The sequence below is a fragment of the Homo sapiens genome, chromosome 2 (assembly GCF_000001405.40).
Source record: "Homo sapiens chromosome 2, GRCh38.p14 Primary Assembly".
Lineage (NCBI taxonomy): Eukaryota > Metazoa > Chordata > Mammalia > Primates > Hominidae > Homo > Homo sapiens.
Genome location: NC_000002.12, coordinates 192,749,845 through 192,777,111, shown reverse-complemented (window position 1 = coordinate 192,777,111; position 27,267 = coordinate 192,749,845). Strand labels below are relative to the sequence as shown.

The 27,267-nt window shown below is 35.2% G+C and overlaps 1 long non-coding RNA gene and 1 pseudogene across 2 annotated transcripts, besides 1 other annotated feature; both read right to left on the bottom strand.

The window, feature by feature from the left end:
* Positions 1-212: 212 nt before the first annotated feature.
* Positions 213-27,267, bottom strand: PCGEM1 (PCGEM1 prostate-specific transcript). Of its 2 annotated transcripts, NR_152587.1 has the most exons (4): positions 27,084-27,267; positions 26,240-26,323; positions 23,267-23,388; positions 213-1,534 (listed from the first exon to the last, which is right to left on the bottom strand). It is a non-coding gene; the product is annotated as a PCGEM1 prostate-specific transcript (long non-coding RNA). The 2 variants fall into 2 exon arrangements; NR_002769.1 differs by lacking the exon at positions 23,267-23,388.
* On the bottom strand, positions 2,643-2,914 carry RPS17P8 (ribosomal protein S17 pseudogene 8; annotated as a pseudogene).
* Positions 3,775-4,069: a silencer, noted in NCBI's record as "tiled region #3165; HepG2 Repressive DNase matched - State 8:EnhW, and K562 Repressive non-DNase unmatched - State 24:Quies". NCBI's record gives its function as "represses a minimal TATA promoter and a strong SV40 promoter by Sharpr-MPRA in HepG2 and K562 cells {active_cell/tissue: HepG2 | K562}" and the evidence as "EXISTENCE:reporter gene assay evidence [ECO:0000049][PMID:27701403]".

The following is a 27,267-nucleotide window of genomic DNA, read 5'->3' as shown; positions in this document are numbered from 1 at the left end:
TATACCCTCATTTTAGAGATGAAAAAAGTATGAGGAGAATGAGATGGGTTCACTGACTTACACGTGACCACATGGCTATTAAGGGTAGATTAGGGACTAGAAGTCTTGCCCTCTACTAATCTAGTGATCTTTCAATCAAAAGCACTCTTTCACCCAGCATCTTGCTTTACGAAATGAACTTTTCATTTCTATGTATGTGAACAATTCACATATTCTATTTCGAAATCTTTAATATTTGTTATAATTGCCATAATTAGCATCATGTAAATTGAATTGAAAAACATAAATGCTTTAGATATAAAGTAGTAATTTTAAACATGGGACTAAGTACAAAAGACTTCAAGGCACCAAGCTTAAGACTCCTTATGTACATAAAAACAATCACATACAATTAATGCTGGATTGTTCCCACAATTTTTTGATCAAGTAATTATGAATTAAAACTCTCAGTTTTCTAAAAACAATCACAAAGACAATTCTGTTAAGATGAAGACATTATAATGAAAAACAATCTATAATTGTATGTGTAGATATATTTGTTGAATTTATGACCTTCATAGTCTAAAATTTAGGAAAGTAATGTTTTTGAATTGATCAGCACAGCTAATTAACTAAATTCACATACTTAAAATTTGAAATTCTAGCAAAGATGTATATAAAAAACAATTAGACAATGTCCAGCTGAATTTTAGAATTATCCAAAGTATTGCTAAGAATTTGTAGATGGGCCCTCATTTTAAACAATACCTGGAAATATTCCATTATCATTTATGCCCAAAAGCAAGCAGGAATCCTTTAATCCAGTTACACAGAAAATATGAAATCATAGGTAGGGCTTTTGATTTTTTGCTTTTGTGGGTTTGTTCATCTGTAAGTTAAAGGTTGTTTCCATTAAGTGTAAATTTAATCAATATAACCAATATTTGCAACAAGGGCATTTCAGAATGCAAAGAGCACCTTTCTTGATTAACTGATCTTGAAGAATGCTTTACCCTTAGTCCTCCACGTGCCTACCCTTAGGAAAGCATGCTCTCTGCAAAGGTTGTATCTTTAAATCATATTTGCACACAACGTAAATGAATGACCTGATCCCATTTATGTGAATTCCCCTCAGAAATCTCAGGGCTTGTCAAAAAGAAACATAACATTGGCAAAGGCACCTTTGTTTTCTCCAGATTTTTTTTTCTTGAGCAGATTGTTATGCTTGGCCAAAATAAAACCAAACATACGGCATTGAGAAATATATGAAAAGACAGTGCACTCTGAAATGCCTCATGATCTCTTTTCCCTCTGCTTGCCTGTTGCCACTTTTTGCTGCCCTAGGAGTAGGCCTGTGTCTTGTAAATATGAAATGCTTTTACAGAGACAGAGAATTTCATATCGAAGACTAATAGATTTCACACTTTCTAGTCCTTTTCCAAAGGGTCCGCTGTCCCTGGAGACTCCCAACCTGATGATGTCATAGTCCTCTTCCAGGAGCTGTTTTTAGTTCCACTTTGGCTGATATCATGAAGTGTCAAATGCACCAAGCCTGCTGGGGTGAGAAATATTTTAGTCTCAACAGATTTGTGCGGCATTGGCATTTCCTCCTCATTATTGTTATACCATTAGGTTTTTATTAATGAGGCCTGCAGTGGCCCCAGGTTTATTATGCAGGATTAGAAATATAAAACTTGTTTTCTGGAGATATTTGGTGTCCTAACATTCAGATTTTCCAGCCCTCAAGAATGTTATAATAAAATTACTCAAGTCCTATAAAAATGAGGCCAAATAATCACATTTATTCTGTCTTATTGTTAGCGTATTCCAACCGACATTTTTCTAACAGGTCTATTTTGGTTTGACCCAAAGCGTTGGAACCCACTGTGAAAATTGGCAGGCCATAAGAGACCAAATGTCTGTTCAGTGTTCTGGGATCTTCCAGCCTTGGCCATTGATGCTCTGGAATAAAGAGAGAAGTAAATGTTCTGCTGGGTTTTCTTACTGAGTGCCACTCAGCAAGCCCTGAACCGTCCACCCTTAAACTATTTTAACTGAACTGGCTCTGTGTTTATTACAAGAGATGTGGTGGAAAAATAGTCTCTCTGGGACAAATATTTTGTTCATGATTTATGGAACTGGTTGATAAGTCACTGTTTATGTTTAGGAGTACTTACTTCACATGCGAATCCTCAATGAAGATCTATGAACAGTTGTTTCTACTTCGCTCTTTAGACAAAACATGTAAGGAAAACCCTCAATTTTATTTAATTCTTCAATCCAATGGTCCATTTTAAGATGGGAATTGTCTGTAGGTTATCAGTGAATTATTATCTATCAGCCACATTTCATCACATTTCAAGTGATAATATAAAGCTAAAATTTGAAACAATGGCTATAATTTTCTAGTATTTTCTTAAGGACTTTGATAAGTCAAAACAAGGAGTTCCTTCAATGCTTTAGTTTTTATCTGTAAAGACAGATCCTTAATATGCAGTATATAAAGATTCACACACACTGCATGTAGAGAGATGAATCACAGGTGTGAATATTGTTTTGACTATCTTCCCATTGGGCACTGAGACAGACAGCAAGGGGTATTAGGAGCTACTCTGTAAACCAAGAGACTTGGCTGCTTCTCCTCCATTGTGTTTTGTTGTTGTTGTTGTTCTGGGTTTACTGAAAATATTACAGCATAGCAGAAAGATTCAACCGGCTCCAACTGGTGTTTTGAAATTCATCCCAACTGTAGGCTGAGTGACCTGCAGTTTGGACAGACTCCCGAAGTCCAAAGACTTCAACATTTTTTTTTTTGCATGAAAATCTACTTCAATGATCTCTCCTTCTGCACCTTGACGGAGATAGCTGTCACTAGGTCTCTCTGAACCTGCTTCATCCAATGCAAGACGTAACATGCTATCTTCTTGTGGAGCTTCCTGCTAGGATCTCCTTCCACGCTTTCTTGTTCCTGTTGAAGTCATTCCCTCGGTGCTTGTACTACTTCTCAGTGATGACTTGGGCCACCTTCATGGTTTTGGTGTAAATGCAGCCCCTGTTAGTGGGTCCTAAGTAGAGAGGAGTTTATTGTAAATCTAGACTAAGTGCCAAGGCATTTAACTTCTCTGTCTTTAGTTTCCTCAGCTGTACTGTTTAAACAATACTATAAAAGAGCTTGAACTTTCCTCTGGAGGTTACAATGTTATTTGAATTTGTTTCTTTAAAAACTGGGAGGAAATGTTCAGACCCTGGTAGGAGCAGATCCTGAGAGTCTGTTGCTTGCCTAAAGCAGGCTGTAAGCTAAAAAATGTATATGTCTAAAGGATAGAAATATCATTTAATATCTCTAAATATTTTCCTTGGAATAAACAAGTCTCTGGATGTTAGTGTACTGTATAACACCATCTCAATTCATAATTACTAATTTTGAGATTCTGTAACATAATCTTTTATTATATGCTAATTAGTATACATAAATATAGAAGATAGGATCAAAGCAGTCAGTGGAGAATCTGCAATATTTATAAACCTGGTTGTCCAAGGGCAGAAATAAGATTTGAACTGCTGCAGAGGTATCCCAAAAGAAAACAAAACAATGTTGAATCCTTGAAGTTGAATGTTGATTTGTTCAACCTTATGGCAATCTAATACCTTATGAATATTCTTCTAATCTTTAAGGCGATAAATAGCAAGCTTCATAAATTCTGCCTGGACCAAGGAGAAACAGAAACTCTAGCCACACTACAAGCATATGATTTGGGAGGGAATGAATGAGGAAGCAGGTTCTGTATTAGGTATCTATTTCACAGCAGAAACATCTGACTTTTGAGTTCAGCAACGGTCACAAGGTCCACCTCCTAGTACACAGAGAGCACTGGTGCTGATGTCAGTGGCAGTGTAAGTCAAGTTCAAGGCTCCAAACAAAAGCATCTAGTGGCGGGTGACAGCAAGCAAATTTGTGCTGTTCTCCTTGCTGCAACTTTGGCAGTGGTTTTGGACTTTGGTCTGTACTTACCCTGGTGCCCTGTTTCCTCTGTATTCTTAACTGTTATGAAAACTGTGTGATATCCTTTGAATAAATTTCTTTTCTGTTGAATCAGCCAGAATCATCTACAACCAACCTATATTTATACAACTGAGTACAGGCAATTTGATTATTTTTCCCCAACATAAGCTTCATGGAAACAAAAGCTTCTCTGGATCAGAGTGCCTCAATTCAAATCCTGGTGCTGATAATCAATAGAGGTATGATTTCGGAGTGTCTTAATCTGTGCTTCAATTTTTTCATATGAAAAGTGAAATAATAAATATTAATATGATTATATCAGGTAATACTGGTACAGTGTTTAGCATAGTGCTTAGGATACACAAAGCACTCAATATTAGTTGGCTGATACAATAAAATAGTAACAATAACAATATATTATGTCAGTCACTAATGAAGATCCATATCTACATGTTTCAATATTCTGGTTTTCACAAAAGTAGCTCTTATTAAGAATATATTTAAATCAAACTGCATAGGACTATTTTGTCTTTATTTCTTCACAATTTTTAAAGTTATTTATAAGACTCTCATTTCTTCCGACAACTCTACCACATATGAAATGTCTTTCTCTTTGGATTTATCTAATTTCTGTATTAAAATAGAACACTAAAAACTTGTGACAGGCCGGGCTTGGTGGTTCACACCTGTAATCCCAGCACTTTGGGAGGCCAAGGCGGGTGAATCATGAGGTCAAGAAATTGAGACCATCCTGGCCACCGTGGTGAAACCCCGTCTCTACTAAAAATACAAAAATTAGCTGGGCATGGTGGTGCACGCCTATAGTCCCAGCTACTCGGATGGCTGAGGCAGGAGAATCGCTTGAACCCGGGAGGTGGAGGTTGCAGTAAGCCAAGATCACGCCACTGCACTTCAGTCTGGCAACAGAGCAAGACTCCGTCTCAAAAACAAAAAACAAAACAAACAAACAAAAAATTGTGACAAAGCCTGGCAATATTTGTGGCCCAGCAAGATTTTTTTAAAAATCAGAAAACCCTTGAATAAAACACACGTATAAATTTGCAGTCAAATTATTTACACATTGAAGTGAAATATCAAATGTTATCACATCAATGAATCTGAAAGCTTTGATATTTGTCTATTGATTTTGAAGAAAAACAAAAAATAAACAGCAACCAAAACACGTGTACATTTACATGCATACACAATACTCAATTTCATTTGCCTCATTATGTAAACTTAAAAATATTTATACAGCTTTTATATTACATTTAATTTTAACTATATTAGAATTAAGAATCAAATGTAAAGCATTGTTTGTTTATTGTGAAATCTAAGTATTTAGTTCTCCACTTAAATATAGACTCTCAGTGGAGATATTAAGTAGACTTTTAAAATATGTGGCTTTATTCAATAATAATTTTTTATACTTGAAATCTACTTATTAAATCTGAAAAATGAAATTGGCATTTAACCTTTATTCTAAATACATTCATATAACTTGTCACCACCAAAATGTTTGATGCTTGATATAAACAGATACTGCTCTTAAAATCACCTTATTTAAAGTAACTCAGTTAAGAAATGTTAAAAAACCTCTTTTCTCTTTTTAGAATTGTATGTGGAGCACAAGACATTTAAATATGTAAATGTCAGTGAGTGATTAATATATTCCCTAAACTATTGTAACTAGAGCATTTTATGCTATAATTAAAAGACTTGCTTAACTACTATAACTCAAGTAATGAAATTCTAAGGCAATGGGAATTATAACGTAGAAAATCAGTCTTATTTTGATAGAAAGAACAAAAAATAGAGTCTCCAGCTTATTGCTCACGGCAAAAACATAAGAGTGTGAGCATTCAAGGGCACCTAGAAACTGACAGAATATTTCCCTTAAGTATTATTACCTTCTAGGTCACCTGCCTTTTGCTTTCTCTGCACTTTACGTTTTAGGTCATTTAGGTTTGTGATTGAATAATACTTTATAATTCTTAAGGAGTTCTCCTCATGTTAAGTTTCCTTTGTGCGAATATATTATATCCACTCTAATAAATGTGAATTATTTTGAAATTAAAGTAGGAAAATATTGATAAATGGTATAGCCTGCTCCTTTTCTAAATAGACAAATCCTTGACTTTATAGACTAATAAAATCCATTTAACTATTTAAGTTTTATATTACAGTTTCTTACTCTATTTTTTAAAATTTTCTGACTATACATTCATTCTCTATTTTGCCTTATACCTATTTATAACTGAATCAATTTCTACCATCAACTCAAACCTTGAGCCCTTCACTAGAAAAATCTCTATATATGTATCATTCTATACTTAATGCAGTTACTGCCACATGGAAGGCACAAAATAAAATTGGCAGAAGTGAATAAAGGAATGATTAGATGTTCATATACTTGTATTAAATAACCCAAAAGTTTATTTGTGGGCAAAAATCTCAACATGATCTACTAAACTAGAAAATTCATATTATGTTTTGATGCTTTCATAAACATGAAATAATTCATATTCCAATTTTGTATTCTTTATATTTTATCTAGGAAATCTTTCATTTCCATTTAAAACAATATGAAAATTATGTGTTTTGATCTTTGTAATGTGAAAATGGGACCTTTTTACTATTGAAGAAAAAGTTTTAATGATATATGAGCTGGATTACATTTTAAAATTAATCCTGTGTAGCAGTATTTGCAGAAGATCCATACACTCCGTCAAATTGCCATTTTATGGGTATAGTTAAGCAATCTTTTTCTGAGAAAAAATATCACTTTAATCAATATTTATAGTCCATAAAGGTCTTTCAGAATTGGAAAAATATAAATACATTAAGTAAGCCTTTTTGTACTTATATACACACAGAAGCACATATAAAATTCTTTATTAAACTGAATAAAACACCCCCTTTTGTCAATATATGCATGGGCAGTGAAAGCAAACTTATAAAGAGATTAATCCATTCCTAAGCAATAAAATCAGTAGTGCCAGTTATACTTTTTCATCAAACCAGCTTGGAAAATTCCAAGACTATCATTGCTTGTTTTTTGCATGTGAAGCTGTTTTGTTTGAAGGAAGTATGGCAATTCACAATTGTTAGGTTAAAAGTAAAAGATTCTTACTGGAAAACATAAAGGCTCAGACTGATAGTAACCATCAAATATGAGGTTCTTCGTATTATCTGTAACCATCAATTTTTTTTTCTAATTTCTCCTCCTATTTCTTTTTTCATTCTATACGTCTTCTTTATGAATCATGATTGTAAGAAGAAAAGTCAACTATAGCTAGATGAGGCAGTAAAGGGTTTTTATGAGAATAATGTTAAGAATTTGAGAATTAATGACCAACTATACGATCAGACTTTGAAAAGAGGTAAAAAATTAAAAGTAGGTCAGGAAATAAGTATTTAACAGTCTGGTTAGGACTCTGCCCCTACCACGGTAGAAATCTCACACTACGGTCCTGGTGCTGCTCTCACTGAACACAACAAATTTCTTATAAATGAGCCCTAACCCTTCTTCTTTGTGCCTCTAACTCCAGATTAAAGTTTTGTGTGGGAGCAACTGATTGGCTGAGCCCAAGTCACATTCCCAAAACTTAGGTCATCAGTGGGCAGAGAACTAAAAGTTAGTCCAAGTTATACTACCATGGTGAGAAGCAGAACACTGCATCTCATATTAATACACAAAATTGGACAGTCCTCCAAAATGAGAGAAAGCTGACCCCAGAACAGCCCAAATAAGCAAAGTGAAATGTTCATGCCATTCTTTCATATTGTGTCGTCACTGCTTAAGGTTTTGTGATTTTGTGATATATTAAGAAGTATATATATTTGGTCTTTGTCTCCATTATCTGACACAAAATACCTAAAATCCTTGGACTCTCCAAAATAATAAGTGTTTTATTGTATGCTAATGAGATGACTAGTAGCTGAGGGTTCCAGGATAGCCTCAGGATGGTGACTGGTTGCCAGGAGAACCAATCTTGTGATTAAAGGGTTGGAAATTTTAGCCCCAACCCCTGACCTTCTGGGAGGGAAGAGAGACTATGGGAACCTATTCACCAAAGGTCAATGGTTTTAATCAATATTGTCTAAGAATTAAGGCTCTGTAAATACCCAAAAGCACAGGGTTCAGAGAATTTAGAGAGCTTCCGGGTTGGCAAACCTGTGGAGGTGCTGGGAGAAGGCATGGAAGCTCCACACCTCTCCTGGACACCTTGCCGTATGATTTTCTTCCATCCGACTATTCCTGAGTTGTATCCTTTTGTAATAAACTGATAAGCTAGCAAGTAAGCTTTTATCCTGATTTCTGTGAGTTGTTTTATGAAATTATTCAACCCAAGGAGGAGGTCATGGAAACGCTTGATTTAGAGATAGTTGGTCAGAAGCACAGATGACACCCTGAAATTTCAGTTGGCATCTGAATTGTGTATGGGGGGGTTGGCAGTCTTGGGGGTCTGAGCCCCTAACCTATGGGATCTGTGTTAACTCTGAGCACCCAATGTCATAATTGGTTGGTTGGAAAACCCACATATTTGGTGTCAAAATGTTGACAGTACATAGAAGAGTTTTTGTTTGTTTGCTTTTCATTTTAGATTTAACTTACCACTGAATGATTGCTCAATCTGTATCTTCATCTAAAAACCCATTCCTGGGCTTCATACACTTATATACAAATACTGATGAATATTTAAACTTATATATTTCACACATGCCTCAAAAACTAAATACAATGCATACATATTGTTATTCACCCATTCCTCTCTGAAAAAACATCTGTCCCTCAATTCTTTTCTCAACAAAAAGTACAATCATTCTCCTAATTGCCCAAATCAGGGAGCCGTTGAAATTACTGTACCTTTTCTTATCTTCCCACTACCTACAACAAATCATTTACCAAAATTGGTCATTCTATGTCTCACCGCCTCTCAATCAACAGCCTACCACCTTCTTCCTTCAGGGTTCAATATTTGCCAGATTATGGCAAACATCTCTTTTCTCTGTCTATACTATTGCTCCTCTCCCATACTTTTCTTCCATGCAGTCAATGTGATTTCTCTAAAACTAAAATCAAACTATGTGAAATAACTTCTTCAAGAAAATCAAAAACTTTGTGTGATCGCCAGTATGGTTTAAAAGTTCCTTATCATGGTTACAACCTGTAATGAGTTTGACACATATTTTGTTCTTTGGTCTCATCTCTCAGTATTTTCTTAGCATCATATAAACCAAGTTTATTAAATTACATTATATTCATATTTTAATAGAAAACATAAAATATTTAGGAATAATTAATGACTATATTAAATATACTCATTAATTGTAAGAAACATGCTATTTTTCAGAAATAAAGTGTAAGAAAAGTATGTGTCTTGTGGCTGACAGCTAGAATTCCATGAATACTTATATTTCCTGTCATTTCCATGCCTTGGCAGAAGCTACTCTCTCATCCTAGAAGGTACACTTCACCTCTGCTGTACCCTTCACTAACAAACATTTAGTTATCTTTCAACACTCTACTTAAAAGCTATGTTTTGGCAAAGTTTACTGACCTACTATTCAGCACCTTCCTCAATACCTTAGGATGCTCTTAGCAGCAATATTCTGACTTCGTACCTGCCCTTGTCTCTACCCACATAGTTAAGTAGTGTGGTAGGCTGAATAATGGCCCCCAAGGTTAATGTTCTAATCTTCAGAATCTATAAGTTTTGCCTTTCATGGTAAAGGGGACATTGCAGCTGTGCTTAAATTAAGGCTCTTGGGTTTTGGAGATCATCCTGGTTATCTAGGTAGGCCCAATGTAGTCACAAGAGTCCATATGAGCAGAAGGCAAGAGGGTCAGGGTAAGTAATAAGAGACGTGAAGTGAAAGAAAGACTGGAGGAATAAGAGGAAGAGGCTATTGACTAACGAATGCAGACAGCTACTGAATATTGGAAAAGACAAGAAAACAGATTCTCTCAAGGCCTCTAGAAAGAACCAGCCCCACAAAATTGTTAACTTTAGCCGGGTGAGAATGAATTTGGACTTCCATCCCTCCAGAATTGCAAGCAATAAATTTGTGTTGTCTTAAGCCACTATTCTTGTGGTAATTTGTTACAGCAGCCAAACAAAAACAGAAACAAAAATGGATAAAACACTAAAACTAATTCTAATACACGTGCTTTCGAAATTATGTATTATATTTATCTCTGTCATCATTAGGTGCCTTAATGACAGAGATCATGTATTTATCTCTGTATCCCTGCACTTAACAAGACAGCCAGCATACAGCTGGGAATAAAATTTGTTTGAAAGAATGAGTGAGTGAGTGAATGAATAATGCTCAGATATTTAAATGAATGCATTAATAAGCAGAAATCCATAGATATATTTTCTGCTTTCTAAGAGACTTTGGACTTTCTAAATAATTCCAACAAGGGCCAGTGATTGTACATCGACTTTACATATTTGATTTATAGTGAAAATATGCTGAACCACTTGGGTTTCCTGAAGTTGCTAATGCTTGAAATTCAAGATATGAATTAGGACTATAATCATAGAGTCCAGAATGTTCCTACTTTGATATGTCACCAATTGTGTTCTCTGGAAATAGAAGCAAAGTATGGGGTACAGGATGTTTATTAGGACTCACTACATGTGAAGAGAGATGTCAGAAATCAGTATCAGGCTAAGGAAGAGTCAAACAAAAATGCAGATTTGACAAAACATCAGAAAAGCTAGCAACGAGTTATGGAGTATTGCCTGCGGAAGTGACCCTCTTAAGGTCAAAATGGCAAAGGCCTTTGTTCTCTGTCTCATTCATTCACCAGATGGAGCTGCCCTGACACATGTGTGACCTCTAATAGGTTGTCTGTGGTTGAGGCAGACCCTGCAGGAGTTTCAAGCTGGTTTGTAAGTCCCTCCTTGAAGGACTGAGCAGCCCATCTTTGTATCGACAATTAAACCCATGTACTGAAAGTTTCCTTCGTCCCACGTTGTTAAGAACAGCTAGAATTCCAGATACATCATCATCTTTCTTTTTCACCACAAATAAATGCTTTGTTTAAACTGAAATATATAAATGCTTTATTTGTTTGGAAATATATTTAACTCATCATTTTATTTAAAAATAGAAAATTGGGTGAACTATCAAGAACTGGTGGATAGGTTGGTGTACTTACCAGAATTACTGGAAGTTATGACATTTGACTAAGCCTGTAGAATTAAAGAAAGATCTGTCTCTGATAGAACGAAAGGAAGATATGTCCTTAGACACATGGTAATATAACATGTTATAAAGCAAGCAAAGACTTGTCATTTCCCATACTTCCTACTTCAAAAGTAAACACATGCTACAGACTTCGTGTAATTTTTCATAATACAAATAAACATGGATACATGTAATGATATAATCATCAAACTATGCTCAGTAAATAAAAGCCTAGAATTTTCAATTAATTTAGTAAGGGAAAAAAATGAAATAAACATTATTAAGTGAAAAGGAGAATAAAACAAAGTCATTTTGATATGTGATTATGATAAAATATAAACAAATTTATATTAAGTAACTCATCATAAACAAATAAAGGAGATGATGATTTTCCAAATAGTTGTTAAAATTTAAAAGTTTCAAATTACAAGAACATAAAGACCTGGTTGCAAGTCTACTGAGGTAATAGTTGTTTAGATTGAGGGACTGAATACAGAAGTTTTAAAAAGTCAAAATAGAAAAAAAAAAGGGGCCAAGAAAGCATAGTTTAGATAGATTTTGGAAACATATTACTGCTATCAATTAAGCTATTACTTTAAAAGTGGCTATAATTATGTATATTTAAAGCCTGTTAATTGTCGGTATAGTATACAAGATTTAGCAATAAAATATTTTCAAAGGGGCTATGAAAAACAGGAAAGATCTCATTGTTAAGCAGCAGTCATTTTCAGCTCAGTGTTTCACATAGTTTCTGTTACCTAGTAGCCATTAGTTATTAGTTATTTGGTGAGTTTATTCTACCACCATCCCCAACACACTCTTCAGCTTAAATTATAATAATTTGGATACTGAAGAATCTTTGTAGTAGTGCCTATGTATAACAGATTGATTTTTTGGCTCCAAATGTTCACTCATACCCCTATGTAGTTTATTTGAAACGCTATCTTGACCCAGTTTTGTGGTTTTGACTAGAGGCTGGTCAGTTCCCCCTTTCGAACAGCTAAGTATTTGCCTTACTGTATTTTCACACTTGAGACCAGTAAGCACCTGCCTAAATCACTCTAGGGCCAGCTATCAGACAATTAGTGACAGCCTTTATGTCCCTGAGCCAATGAAATTATGCAAATTGGCCAATCCTACTCATTCTTGTGCTAGTCTCCATTAGAGAGGAACATGCTGGCCACATACTGGTATCTCCTGGAAATAGAGGCTTTTACAGACCTTAAGTCTGTGACTCTTCATATCAAGCTGCCAATTATGTTTTGAGTCACAGAAGCAGAACCAGACAAGTTGGGCACAGCTACAAAGGACTTCTCGATGTAGAATGGAGTAAATCTCAGCCCTCTGGCATATTCCACTTGCAAGAGGGGATGGCCTCCAATGTCCTCAGTCGCTTGCCAGATGCCATGGTGTTGGAGAAGTTTACCCCTCTTCCAAGCCCTTTAGATATCTGAGAGCCACTTATGATTAACTGAGTGAACAGCAGTGGGAGTTTGTAGAGTGTACAATAGCATTGTCACTGTCATACATGATGGAGCACAGGGAAATATTGCTGCTTTCCATTTTTTACCCAGAATGTTCCAGATAAAGAATGAAACCCAAGGGTCATGTCGCTTGCCCAAACTAGGTAGTCATCTTAACACTAGATATCATAGTCAGCAAATGGCTCCATCTCCACATTTTTGCAAACTTTTGAAACATTGCCTGAGAGTTGTCCCCTTCAGAGTAAAGAACTTTGAGAATCTCTTGCTTCACAAGTATCCAAAATATATATCAAGGTTACACATGTTGCTATTTATACTAAGGCCACAATACAGAGTCTTCCTGGGATACTTCTTATTCCCTTTGACGTGTCAGACATTACTGACAGTGACTAAGCCACACATTTCACATTTCAGAATACACAATAGTGGGCTCTTACAAAAGGCATTCAATGGAACTTTTCTCTCTGGGATAGGTCCCAGACAGCTAATTTAATTGGGAGACCTAAATGGGCCTATCAAAGAACTCCTATATAAGTTACAAAATGACAAATGAATTCCTAAATGCATCTGTATCTTGCCCCATAATTTAATTTTTTAATTCAAGGCCCAACATATGTAACACTAATTTTAAATATTGTTCCCAATTCCCTTGGCTATTTTGAAAGTTACATATATCTGACCTCTGTGTGTACTCATGGCTCTCTGTAAAAACATACACTCCTAAACTCCTATGCCTTAAGGAAGAACTTGTAGCAGTTACTAGCATCTGTGCCTTTCTAAACATTAAAGAAGATTACTACTTTCCCCAGAAAGGAAACTACCTCATATCAGTCCACCCATTGACTCCCTTGGGGAGTGAACTTCCCATTTCCCAGTGCCTTCTCCCTACTCTTCCCACTTCAACTCACCACCACGACCTCCCACTCTGCATTTCTGAACATGACCACAACCACCTCTTCACTTGGTTTCAAACAAATATCACTAACCTTTACATATGCTTTACTAACTGTATACCCTCTACAAGGTAACTACTGGAACTACCACCTTGACCCAAGGATACATCAAGATATTATTATCATAAAACCACATAATTGGTACTTTTAAAACATTTTACAACTCCACCAAGATCTTGTTAGGGACCCCAGAAATTCCAGCTCTGTTTTCTTAGTAATGCCATAAAATGGAGATCTTGGTGATGGACTGGCCTACAAGGACTCTTTATTCTTCTATATGTTTTTCTCCTATTTACTCCCATAATAAAATGTCTTCTATGCTCTTTGGACAATTTATACTCTACTCTGTGAAAGTCTTTGCTACTATTTGGCCATTGAAATATGCCAAATAAGCTCAAAACTGATGTCAAGACTTTAAGCGGTAGATTGTAACAGTTTCTGCTGTTGTTTAATCACTGTCTGGACCCAGTTTTGAGGCCCAGGCTAGAGGGTAGTCAGTTTCCCTTCTTGGCAGCTGATTAAGTCCACTCCCCAAGCCAATCACTCCCCTTATTGAGCTTTCAAACTCTTGGCCACTATGTAGGCTCCTCAGTTGCCCCAGGGCCAGGTATCAGGCAACTAGACACACTCCCTAAGCCCTGGAGCCTGAGAAATTGTTCAAGTTAGCCAATGCACAAGGATCCTGGGAAGCTAGTTGAATCCACTCTACTTGTTATATAAATTGCCCCACCATAGCTTCAGCTTGCTGTTACCCTTTCTCTGGATGCAACTCCCTAGGTGGCCCTGCCTGAAAAATTTGGAGTTGTCAGTAAAAGAATTCTGTCTTTCATCTACTAGAGTGTTTTTATGATTTGTTGTTTTTATCAAAAGGATCTTTAAACTTTAAGAAACACCATATACACACACTTTAACTTCCTCCCACTAAAGTTGGAGTACATGTTCCTGTCCCTTTACTTCACTGCTGTTTGATTTGATTTCTTTTTAAACAAAAAATATTGCTGGAAGTGAAAGTGCACCAGTTTTTAGTCTAAGCCTTCAAAGACATCTCATTCTTCCCTCTTGCTCTGTTATCGTTGTGAGAAAAGATACCCTGGGGTAGCTGCTATCCCTTCAGGAATAATGAACTTACGTGAAGCCAAGCCTCCCTAACCAAGCTCAGGTGGACTCAGACCTGAAAGTAGAGCCATCCAGTGGAATTGTGGCACCATTCCAAGAGTGGGATTTGAATGAGCTGTCCCAGTTGACCATGGATGGATAAAAAGCAAATGTTTATTTTGTATGCCAATGAAATTTTGTGCCTCTGAAATTTTGTGTTTTCGGCAATAGTCAACAGCTACAATATGCATACATGTTTGGCTAAGTGCTCTAATTATGTTTGGGAAAAAAAAGGATAGCCTGCAACTTTTGAAATCTGCTTTAGCATTGGGCAGCTGTAAAAGAACAACACACTAAAGAGATCTATCTTCTCTTTATTCTTTTCTGTAGTCTGAAAATATTATGCAGAAGCAAGATGGGATGTCTGGAATGACAATAGATCATTTTCTTTCAACAGTGAATCTACATGCACAAATCCCTGAAATAGTACTTCTAATTTGACAAAGACTCCTCCTTAGTAGTGGTGACTGGTAGCCATGCCTGTTAGTTTATTGAACATAAGCATGCAAGCTCTCCGTTTCATGTGAGTGAGGACACCACTTCTCAAACTAATGAGTGAAAAGTAATTGGTCATTATCCATTAGAATTCAATTATTCTAAGGTGGAACATCAGAAGCAACTAGAATGGACAGGGTTAGATCCTGGATATCACATAGGGATAATGACATATCTGTTATCATTGACTTCCAGTTGAAGCCATGCCATTGACAGGCAGAGCCCCTCAGCAGGTGCCAGGGTATGGTCATTTCCAGGTTTTGTTAGGAACACCTTTTCAGAAGAAATCTGTTACTAGAGGTTGATATATTATCTTGTTTCAAAGTGGTGTATTTAATTTCTGAATTAAAAAGTAAGGCCAGGCTGGGTGCAGTGGCTCATGCCTGTAATCCCAGCACCTGGAGGCTGAGGCAGGAGGATTGCTTCAGCTAATGGGTTTGAGATCAGCCTGATCAACATAGTGAGAACTTGTCTCTTACTAAAAATCAAACAAATAAAAAAAAAATCAGCAGGGAGTGGTGGTGTGTGTCTGTGGTCCCATGTGCCAGCTACTCTGAGGCCAAGGCAGAAGGATCACTTGAACCCAGGAATTTGAGGCTGCAGTGAGCTATGATCGTGCCACTGCACTCCATCCTGGGTGACAGCAAGACCCACAGACCCTGTCTCAAAAGTAAATAAGTAAAAATAAAAAATAAATGAGGACAGAGATTCAAAGCTGGAGACAATTCATGTGATCAATGAGCAAAATAGTGCATTGCATTTCTCTTATTTGCTCAGTTTGGTCATAAGTTTAGGGAAATAAACCTTTGTTTATACTGTAAGGATAATTTTAAGATGCATAAAATATATTCTTTACACAGCATTTATAAGGAAAACAATATTTAAGATTGAGACATCTCATTAATATCCTGAAAAAATATTTAAAAGTCAAGATACTGAAATTATTTTGAGGAATGAAAATATATCAAAGTGTCAGCAAATAAAAAGAGTGAATGAAACTATAAAATACTTGTTAGTTTTAAATTTATTTGACCTTGTGCTTATTGAAAGTATGCAAGTGGACATTTTGTGAATAGTTAAATGATAAGTATTATGGGGAAACAAGGCAATGGAAGACCACTCTTCTCATGATGAATTTATATTATAATAATTAAACAAGTCAACAATATAAGAATGATCCTGAGGCAAAAAGATTCATTCAATATTTATTATAATTGAAATATATCTGCATTGTATGGATAAAGTTCCTGTCATACAGAAAGTTTCAATGCTTTATTGAGGCTACACAGCTAAATGGAAGTACAGTCATAAGTAGAACCCAGGTCTCTGGACATGAAGTTCAGGGATAATTTTTTACTCAAGGATCTGCACATGAAAGTAAATAGCGTGGTAATAATGTTTTATTAAGCATGGTAGAGATTCAAAAATGAGAAAAAAATTTAGTGTCAGTATCCCCAAAGTCTTTCTGGAAATTATACAATTGAAGATAGGTCTTGAAGGGTGGTTGAATATAGAGACAGAGGACTTGGGGAGGTGAAATAGGCTAAGAAAAGCAACAATTTAAATTTTGGGTTTGAATACCAGTGATTAGAGAGTTAGCATGACTCAAGTGTTAATATAAATAAATAAGTGTGGAAACTAAGTTTCAAAGACTGTGTATTATAAGGAAAACAAACTTCACATAATAAATTACAAAGGGGGTTTTGGAAGAGAGAAGTGTATTAGTGTTCTACCCTGTAACTATAGTTTTGAAAACCACAGTTTAAAAATGTTATGCAAAAATAATAAAAAGCAAATAGATGAAGAAGTGATTGCAGTTTTGATATGAGAACTGACATATTTATTGTTGGTTGGGGGCAATTAAAAGATACATATGTATATGTATAAAAGATATGATAGACTCACTGAATTTCATACTTAAGGACATTTATTTCAACTAACTAAACATTGCCCAAATCTCTTCTACAATACAGATCTAGTATTTGGTTTTCTGGTGCATGTTTGAAAACCCCAAGACCACTACATTAGTATTTTCTTCCAGTAGCCAACTCAGTTTTTGAATATTTCTGGCTCTTGAAAAAAGTTTTCCTTATTCAGGTCTAAAATTGTAGTTCAGTGCTTAGAGTGTTTTCTAATTTTCTTTTTCAACCTGTATACTTATATTTTCTTCAACCATGCATTTTATAATAATAATATCGAGCCTCTAAATGAATAATACTATATTCCTGTGTTTTGAAAGTAGGGAGTCCATATCCAAACATAAGAATTCAGGTATAACGTATGCAGTCTATAGTAGAACAGAATTATCTTCCTCGGTATTCTAAACACTCAGTTTCCATTTGCATAACATATTTATTTTTTTCTTGGACAAAATATCACATAGTCTTAAACTGAATATGAGGTCTCAGGTTCAATTCTTTTTCACAATGCTATTGTTAAAAAATCCTTTATTTACATGTGAAATTGGTATTTTGTAACCAAGTACCAAACTTACTCTTATACTTGTTAAATGTGCATTTGCTATTTAAATCTCTGCAAACTGCTTGTTCATTTTTAAATTTGATTTTTGTTATAAAATGTAAAAATTACTGTGTTTTGTAGCATCTACAAAGTTAATAGGCATATTGTCTAAATTTTTGTCAAAATATTGAAAAATATTGAGTAGGAGAAGAGTAAAAGAATCACATTGAATTGAAAGTAGTAAATGACCAATTGGATTAAAGTCTGGCTATTGCTAAGAAACAAGGAAATAATGAGCATGTAGCTTAATAAATGGAAGGGAAGAATACCAAAAGTTCCTAGACATTAAGGAGAAAAAAAAGCAAAATAATCACTTTTATTTAATTATTGTACTTAAAATCAGTGCTACTGTTCCTAGTCTTTGCCACATACATTCACAAGTAAGTATGTTCCATACATTACACTGTAGGGTTACATAGTTTTTCTCTCTCCACTTAGGAATTCCTCAGGAGTAGAGGACATGAACCATATATTGTTGATAACTCTATAGTTCCCAGCAAAAGACTGAGTATATAACATTATCATAGTGATCACATATTGATTAACTTAACAAACCATCTCTTTAAGCTTCATGATAAAAATGATGTTCATGTCAATTAATGCCTTTTTAAATTTTGGAAAAATATTTCTGCATTCATTTTAAAAAGTAGATGTATAAAGAATATAATGACATTAAACATTAAAACATATTTAGGCTGGTTTCAAACAGAATTTCATATAGAACATGAAGCACAATGAATCTATTAAATGAGCCAGAATATCAAGTCACAGCTTCCTAAGCTATTAGAGGCTGTGTGGATCCTCTCTCAGCTGGAAGTAACTAACTCTAGGTGTCATAGCATCCTGCTGACAGCTTAGCTCTTATATGACAGTCGTGATTAAACATTATCCATAAATTTTTTTCATTTCATCAAATTGAATCATAGTTTTCAAGGCAAATAAAATATTCATTTTTCACAAATATTCATAGAGCTGTCCTCAAATGAAACTGTGAGATTAGACTTCTTCCAAACCCAACTTAGACAGAATGAATTTTAAAATCTCAATATAATGTGTCAAAAGTGAAAATTAACTCCATATTCATCTTCTACGTAATGATAGGGAAAATTGTTCAGGGCTGCCCTCTTGTCAGATTTTCTATTCCAGATATGCATATAATAAAATACAACAGTGTTTTAAAAAATGTGATGTCCTTTAAGAATGGAATTCTTTATACATGTGAGGTGAAGTAAAGGTAACAAAGGAGCCTCCTAGCTTCCCACATCACTTCAGAAGATATTGGCTTCCAGTTTTTTCTGTTTTGTTTTGTTTCTTTTTCCCAATGAAATAAGGTAATAGGAATCACGGAAGCCTTACACTATAAATCGACAGGATTCAAAATAAAAGCTATGTGTGTAAAAAAAATGAGAATTTCTAGTCTTTTTTGGTTGATAAATTATTTGAATTTTCCTTTGAAACTTCCTGAGGAACAAGTTTAAGGAGGCAAAGTTATCTTGTTAGTTCTTGTCAATTCTACTTCTGAAAGATCAGAGTAGTATTGAGAGAGGCCACCTCTGGGCCAGAGGCAAAATTTTGGTGCATTTATTTTGTATCACAACTTTTTCACTGAGCGCCTGTTATATAACCTACAGGGCATTAGGTGTTACCTGGTGACAGGGAATGAGAAAAACCTTGTCTATTTGCTAATTAATGCAAAAAGTATTTGTCAAAGCAGGCTCTTCTATAGGTGTTGGGGATAATGCTTTAAACAAAGCAGACAACCTCTTGTGTGTTTTATATTTTAGTGGAGGAGGGAAAGACTGAAAAAAAAACATATTATAATGTATAATGTTGCATAGTGAATCATACTATGAACAAAATTGAAGCAGGGAAAGGAGATAGAGAGAGTTCATTTATTCTTTCTTTTACCAAACATTTATTGAATGTATGCAGCACTATATGCCAGGTCCTTTTAGGCAAGCAAGACCTATCAGTTAATAAAAAATTGAAAAAGTAACCCTCATAGAGCTTACATTATGTTTTAAAGGGAAAAGCAATAAATATTATAAATAAGCAAATGACATACAATCATAGAAGGGAAAAGCAATAAATATTATAAATTAGTAAATGACATTCAATCATAGAAGGCAAAATGTGCAACAGGAAGTTCCTCGTGTGCAACATCAAAGAAGGGAAGAAACTGATCTGATTAACAGAAGAGACAGCCCAAAATGTTGGTGCAAACTTGAAGTAGACCACTACCACATTTCAGCCCCACTCAGGGTTGGCCTTAGAGACAGCAACAAAGGGAACTTCTCCTGGTGAGCAGAGTTTTAAGCAGTCAACTCAGTCATTCATTTTGCATGAAATGGGAGATGACAAAAGGTACAGATAATATGTTGATTCCTGGGTTGTGGCAGTGGCCAGACTCAATGGTCAGAGTCCTCAAATGAAAAAGACTAATAAGTCGGGGCTAAAGAACTCTGGGAAGGAAGTATATGGAAGATCCTATAGGAGTGGGCACAACACATGCAGATAAGTGTAACTAGTATTAATTTCTACCAGAGAGAACCCATCTCCAGGGAGCATCTCTTCAACAAGGTAGACAGGATGACTATTGCAATGCTTGCACAATGAGCACATGACCAGGGTGGTCATAGCAGAAGGATTAAGGCTATGCATGAGGCTAATGACATGTATTCATGTATTCGTCTTCACCAAGGCTGATCTATTGCTACCATTGCTGAATGTCCAGTCTGAGAGCAGTGCATATCCATTGCAGAGTCTTCCATGTGACACTACTTTTCGGGAGTTTAAGCAGCCTCTTGGTGACAGAGCTATGAAATAAGACCCCTTCCACCAGAAAGGGAATAAGGATTGTCCTTATCAGAACAAATGCACATTCTGGATATGAGTTTGCCTTTTTTTGCACAGTTTTTCAATCAACACCATCATTTAAGGGCTTAAAAAATGCCTGATATCTCAACAGAGCATTTCATGTGGGATTGCTTTAGAACAAGGAGCCTGCTTTATCACAAAGGAGGTATGTTGATGCATAGGTAATCACAAGATTCGTGGGGCTTACTACTAGTATTCTACTACACTGATAGAATGAAGACTCAGTTAAGGAGCCAGCTCAGAGAAAAAATCCCAGGGTGTTGTCTTCTAGTGTACACTATATGCACTGAAGCATAGGTCTGGGAGGTAAGGAGTAGAAGTGGGATCCCCTGCTTGCCATTATTCCCAGTTATTTTTAACATATTCCCATGCTCAAAATATAGTGCTTTCCACCCTGCCTTAGACTTTGCTAGTTTAGAGATGTTATTTTCCAAGTGGAGAAGAAATGTATGAACTACCTTGAGCTCCTAATCCTGGTGCAGATGGAATGTACTAGTGGGAGTCATCGATCTTGATAATCATGAGAAGCTATAGTTGCTACTACATAGTGAGGGCAAAAAGAAATATGTCTGGAACCCAGTAGATTCACTGGGATATGTCTTGGTGCTTTTGTATTCAGTGATAATAAAAAAATGTTAACCGCATAGAACACATGTCCAGAAGCTCAAAGTAACTTAGGAATAATAACCCCTAAATCCAAGGTCTGGATCACCCCATTCAGCAAGACCCAAAATTATAGCTGAAGGTGGCCAGCTGTAACTTCATTGGATAACATAATATAAAGTTGTCTGTGTGCTGTTTGTTTAAGGAGGCAGCAGTTAACAATAATACTTAAAGATTAAATTTTTATGCTTCTTCTCAGGGAAGAATCGAAGGTGAGAATTGAATATCGTAGTACAGTGTGAGCAGATCTGACCTGCACTATGAATGGATTGTACCAAATTCAGATTATGCATTACCCATCTCTGCACACTTGCTTTGCTTTCTAAATTGGGTGGCACTCAGTGGCTGGTAATATTCCCATTCTGTGCCCACTCTCATTTCAACAGACTGAAAACCTTGCTGGATATGCCCTATGGGTGCCTCACTTTCAACCTACATTGGAAGTCCTTCCTTTTCTTTCCCTGGGTTCCTGAATACTGCTGAAGTATAAGATGCTGCAGTAATTAATGCTGTCTGGGGTGAACACTGAAGGCATGAGACAAGCCTTCAGTGTTATTTAGATATTATTTAGATATTATTTTTCTCCCTGCTTCTCCCAAGGTAAACAGTCAGAGAAGCAACCCCTTTGAAGATGGCTCACTAGACAGAGCAATTGTCTCAAAGTTCTGACCTGTCTAACAATGCCACTCCTTATATTTGTTGTCCCTCCTTCCCCTACTAACTTCTCATCCTCTTCCCAACCTCAAGAATTTCTTGGGTTGCACAATCAATAAAATAGTTACTGTAAAAATTTTGCCTAGGGTTTGTGTTTTAGGGCAACAGTCCCCAACCTTTTTGGCAGAAGGAACTGGTTTTGTGGAAAACGATTTTTCCATGGACAGGGCAGGCGGATGGTTTCAGGATGAAACTGTTCCACCTCAGATCATCAGGCATTAGATTCTCATAAGGAACGTGTAACTTAGATCTCTCACATGCACAGTTCACAGTAGGATTCACACTCATGAAAATCTAATGTCACCACTGATCTGACAGGAGGTGGAGCTCAGGTGGTAATTCTTGCTCACCTGCCGTTCACCTCCTGCTGTGTGGCCTCGTTCCTAACAGGCCATGGACCAGAACCACTAGGTGGCCTGGGATTTGGTGACCCCTGTTTTAGGGAATGCTAAGACAACAGGTAAAAAAAAAAAAACAAAAAAAACCAGTTGCCCATATTCAGCATCACCTATGGGGACCCTGTGATATTACTATGAGAAAATTAGAAGATACAAATGCACTGAAAAAAAATAGTATCTCTTTCCAAAGTTTTAAGCAGACTGTGCCTGAAAGCCCTGATTTAACACATATATCTTCAGAAAATTCATTTATATATCACTCTGTGCAATGTGACTTTTCAAATAAAAATCATTGTTCTAAATTAAATATATTCATTTTTGCTTCGAAGTTTTCTTGTTCATGTATGAAAATTGAAGATACTGCTCTTAATGTGTTGGTTCTCCTAGCAAAAAAAAAATTTCTCAACCAGTTAAGTAATTTCAGTTTATTACTTACATGCTTTATTAATTGTGTGTATCAATAAATGTTAACAAATAAAGCTCATGGAAGTTTATTCTGTAAAAGGTGAAACATTTAATATGATTGTGAATGCTATTGAAAATTCAGTTTAAAAGTTTAATACAAAATTATTTCTTTTTATGTTAATAATTCAAATGAAATTTTTGGTGTAGCGTTCACTGCGGTAATAAAACTATAAAAACTAAACTACTAGGTTAAGAAATGTTGGCCGGGCACAGTGGCTCACACCTGTAATTTCAGCACTTTGGGAGGCCAAGGCAGGCAGACATGAGGCCAGGAGTTTGAGACTAAGCCTGGCCACCATGGTGAAACCCCATCTCTACTAAAAATACAAAAAATTAGCTGGGCATGGTGGTGGGTACCTGTAATCCCAGTTACTTGGGAGGCTGAGGCAGGAGAAACGTTTGAACCTGGGAGGTGGAGGTTGCAGTGAGCCAAGATCACACCATTGGGCTCCAGCCTTGGAGACAGGGCAAGACTCCATCTCAAAAAAAAAAAAAAAAAAAGAGAGAAAGAAAGAAATCTTAATTGGTTGTGCTATACATGCTACACATGAAACTCAAAATTGCAACCCAAATGTCCAACAACAATGACAGACTGGATTAAGAAAATGTGGCACATATACACCATGGAATACTATGCAGCCATAAAAAATGATGAGTTCATGTCCTTTGTAGGGACATGGATGAAGCTGGAAACCATCATTCTCAGCAAACTATTGCAAGGACAAAAAAGCAAACACTGCGTGTTCTCACTCATAGGTGGGAATTGAACAATGAGAACACATGGACACAGGAAGGGGAACATCACACACCGGGGCTTGTTGTGGGGTGGGGAGAGAGGGGAGGGATAGCATTAGGAGATACACCTAATGTAAATGACGAGTTAATGGGTGCAGCACACCAACATGGCACATGTATACATATGTAACAAACCTGCACGTGGTGCACATGTACCCTAGAACTTAAAGTATAATAATAAATATATATATATATATATATATAATTGCATCCTAAACAAGAAGTTGTGAAGATGTACATATATTTTATTTTGTATATTATGCTGTATATTTTGCTCACAGTCAAAATGGTAAAACCAAATAATTTTTATGATAAGGCTGATGTGACGTCTCTCAAAACAAAACAAAATGGCCAACTAGAATATGGTAACACAGTCTTTCTGTCTTTGTTCTCCATCATTAGCTAAAATTTTAAAGTATATGGTACTTAGAAGAACTAACTTTAAGCAGCCTAAATGTAGTCTACTGATACTGCATTTTTAGCAGCCTAAGTGTAGTACACTTACTGCATTTTTAATAGTCTTATAATTTTTATTGCAGTTCTCAAAATTAATTGTATGTCTTTATTCAAAACACATAATGAATATAGCCTCACAAAACTTACCTTTAAAAATTATAAAGTAGTAAATTAAAATCAAAACTTGAAAACAGAAAAATATTAAAATTTTCTACAAACACAAAGAAAAATTGAACAAATAAAATGAAGGTACAAAGAAGTATAATATTTAATTCTGAAATTTTGCAAAGTTGGCTTTGGAATATCTCAGTCAGTGGGAGGAATCTTTTGAAGTGACTCCAGTTTTACTTGGATAAACTTATATTCTGCACCAGAATGAAATCAAACTGAAATTGCCTATGATTTGATAGTATAAAGGTTTACAAAAGTAGTCTATATAATTTTAAATAACAAAATAGAAGACAAGTTTTGACTTCCAAAATATTTGTCAGAAATTATGATTGGAAGCAAAAGCATAGCACCTGCAAAAATATATGAGCTGAAATATTTATATATTTCGTATTGAAGAAAATAGAGTTGATAATATCATTTATTTAGCAGAAATTTCTCCAAGCTTACAAGCTACTTCATTCTCTAGAGAAAAATTATTTTCTCAACTAAAAACTTTAGGATCCACAGAGACTGAGATGAGGGTTTCAGTATTTTCAAATTTATTAACCAAAAATTTTCATTTAAGATAATTTTTAGGCAAATTAAAAATAAATAGACAACATTAAAATATTTTGAACAAATACCACTGGCATTATATTAGAGTTGGATACTATAAAATTAATTAAATAATCAAAAATATATTAAATAAGTTACTACTTATACTATTTTAAATCTTCCAGTGATAAATATAAGGAAGTTTTTTGGTGTTTCATGTACATATGCTGCTTTTAGTTTTAGAAAATTGTATTTCAGAGAATTACTTTTAAATAGTACTATTTCATAGATCTAACACTATCATAACATCAATTGCTTTTTGTCAATAGTGCCTATGTCAAAATTATATAATTTAATTATTTTAGCTTTCCCTGTCATTCTCGAAAGTATTTTTTGGGGGGCATCAAATAGTATGGTCATCATAATGCTAGTACAGAAAACAAACAAACACATAAATTACACAAATAAATGTTTGATATAAATATCAAGTGGTGAGGAAAAGGAAAAGAAACTTTTGATCGAGACTATTCTAGATCAGGTGGTCACTGAAGCTATTTTGGACAAGGAAACCTTTTAGCACGTATATAGAAATGATGATGCAATTGTGAATATCTATTGGAAGAGCAATCTAGGCAAAGGCAAAATATGAAAAAAAGAAATACCTCGGCCAAAACCCAGTCTAACTTGTAGTAGTGAAAAGGCTAATGAGATTGAAGGAGAGCCAGAAAGGCCTAGTGGCTGGAAATTACATGAAATTTTAGGGAGAGCCTGGACCAGATCATAGCAAGTCTTTGTAGGTTTTCAATATTTTTTTTCTTTCTTTCTATGTGTGACAGAGAATAGTGGAAGTTTTGTGGGGTGGAGTGACATCATCTGGTTTATGTTTAAAAACTTTCTTCCAGTTGCTATGTTAAGAATAGATTGTAAGGATTGGAGCTAAAGAGGAAGGAATAATTATACAAAGAGCAGTAGGAAAAATACTAATAATTAAGAGAGAAAAGGAACTTAGCCAATTTGAACATCCTCTACATATGAAGAACTGTGCTGGACATTTACAAAAATTATCTACTATTGCTAATGGATATGTGTATATATTAGTTGATTTGCTTCAATAGTATACTGTAATTGAAAGTTTCAATTGCTTATAAGTTATTCAAGCATATATGAAGATAACATACAGATATATAGTTAAAAATAGTGCAATCTGAAACTTTCACAATTACTCTTAGGAGATTAGTGTTCAGTACTGAAATTAATGAAATGATATTATCTCAATATGCATATGCAAATATGAATAAGTAGTTAAGCTCAACAATAGCATAAGCAAAAGATTATGATAATAAGTTCCATTATCTGAATTAATGAATGGCTCACCTCACTTGATAAGGTCACGTTGAGTCCCAGTGCATCTCGTAGTACAATTTTATCATTCAGCTCTATGAATCTGCTTAACTATTTCTGTATATTTTAACAAGAAATAAAAATCACAAAGAGATAAAGGTAAGTTGCCTGTGGGAGCCTGAAAAAAAAAAATCAACCAGAATAACAAATTCTTCTTGGTTTAGAATATTCCCAAGTTGTATGCTTTTTATTTTTTTTTCAATGATTCACCATGCAGGTATTTAAATAATAAAGGAGGCATTTAAATGTTTCTTTGATTTAAATCCCTATTTTAATCTCTAGTTAAGGTTCCTCAAATTTCTTGTCTCATACATCTAGTGATTAACAAAATTATATACATGGTGACATACACATAAGATCTATGAGGACCTCACTTACTGAATATTCAAATGTGATTATTGTATTACTCTCTACCTCTGTGAGTTCCCTAAAAGGGAAACTGTGTGCCCTGAAAATAAATTTATGTGTGATTTTGTCAAATTATCCTTGGAGATAGAACCTGGAAGCAAAACATATTACAATGCCAAATGTGTTTCTCAAAAGGCCAAATAAATTAAATCTTCTTCAGGGAAAACATATAAAGGCTGGATCACAACATCCATGCTCTGCATTCAGACTTAAAGCACCAAAGTTATACAAAACTGAGTAGCCCTATCAAATCATTTCATTATTCCCTGCTAATTACACTAAAACCTCTATACTTTTCAAAGCATTTTTATTTTGTCTTCTAAATGTTAGTAGTTTAAAAATAACCATGATTTAAGCCATTATTACTATATTCTTAGCTATTATATACATAACAAAATCTCTTACTCACCCCAATTAGAGGAAGTTGCAGACACAGGTTACGGCATAGGGCAAAAAGGTTGCTGCCTAATTGAAAAAAGATGCTGTCCAGGGACCTATAAATAGCTCTTTAAAAACCTCCACCTTTGCTATCATTTTCATTCAATTTATGACTTTTAAAACTGCAGTTCCAAAACTGGGTGCCAGAGTGCCTT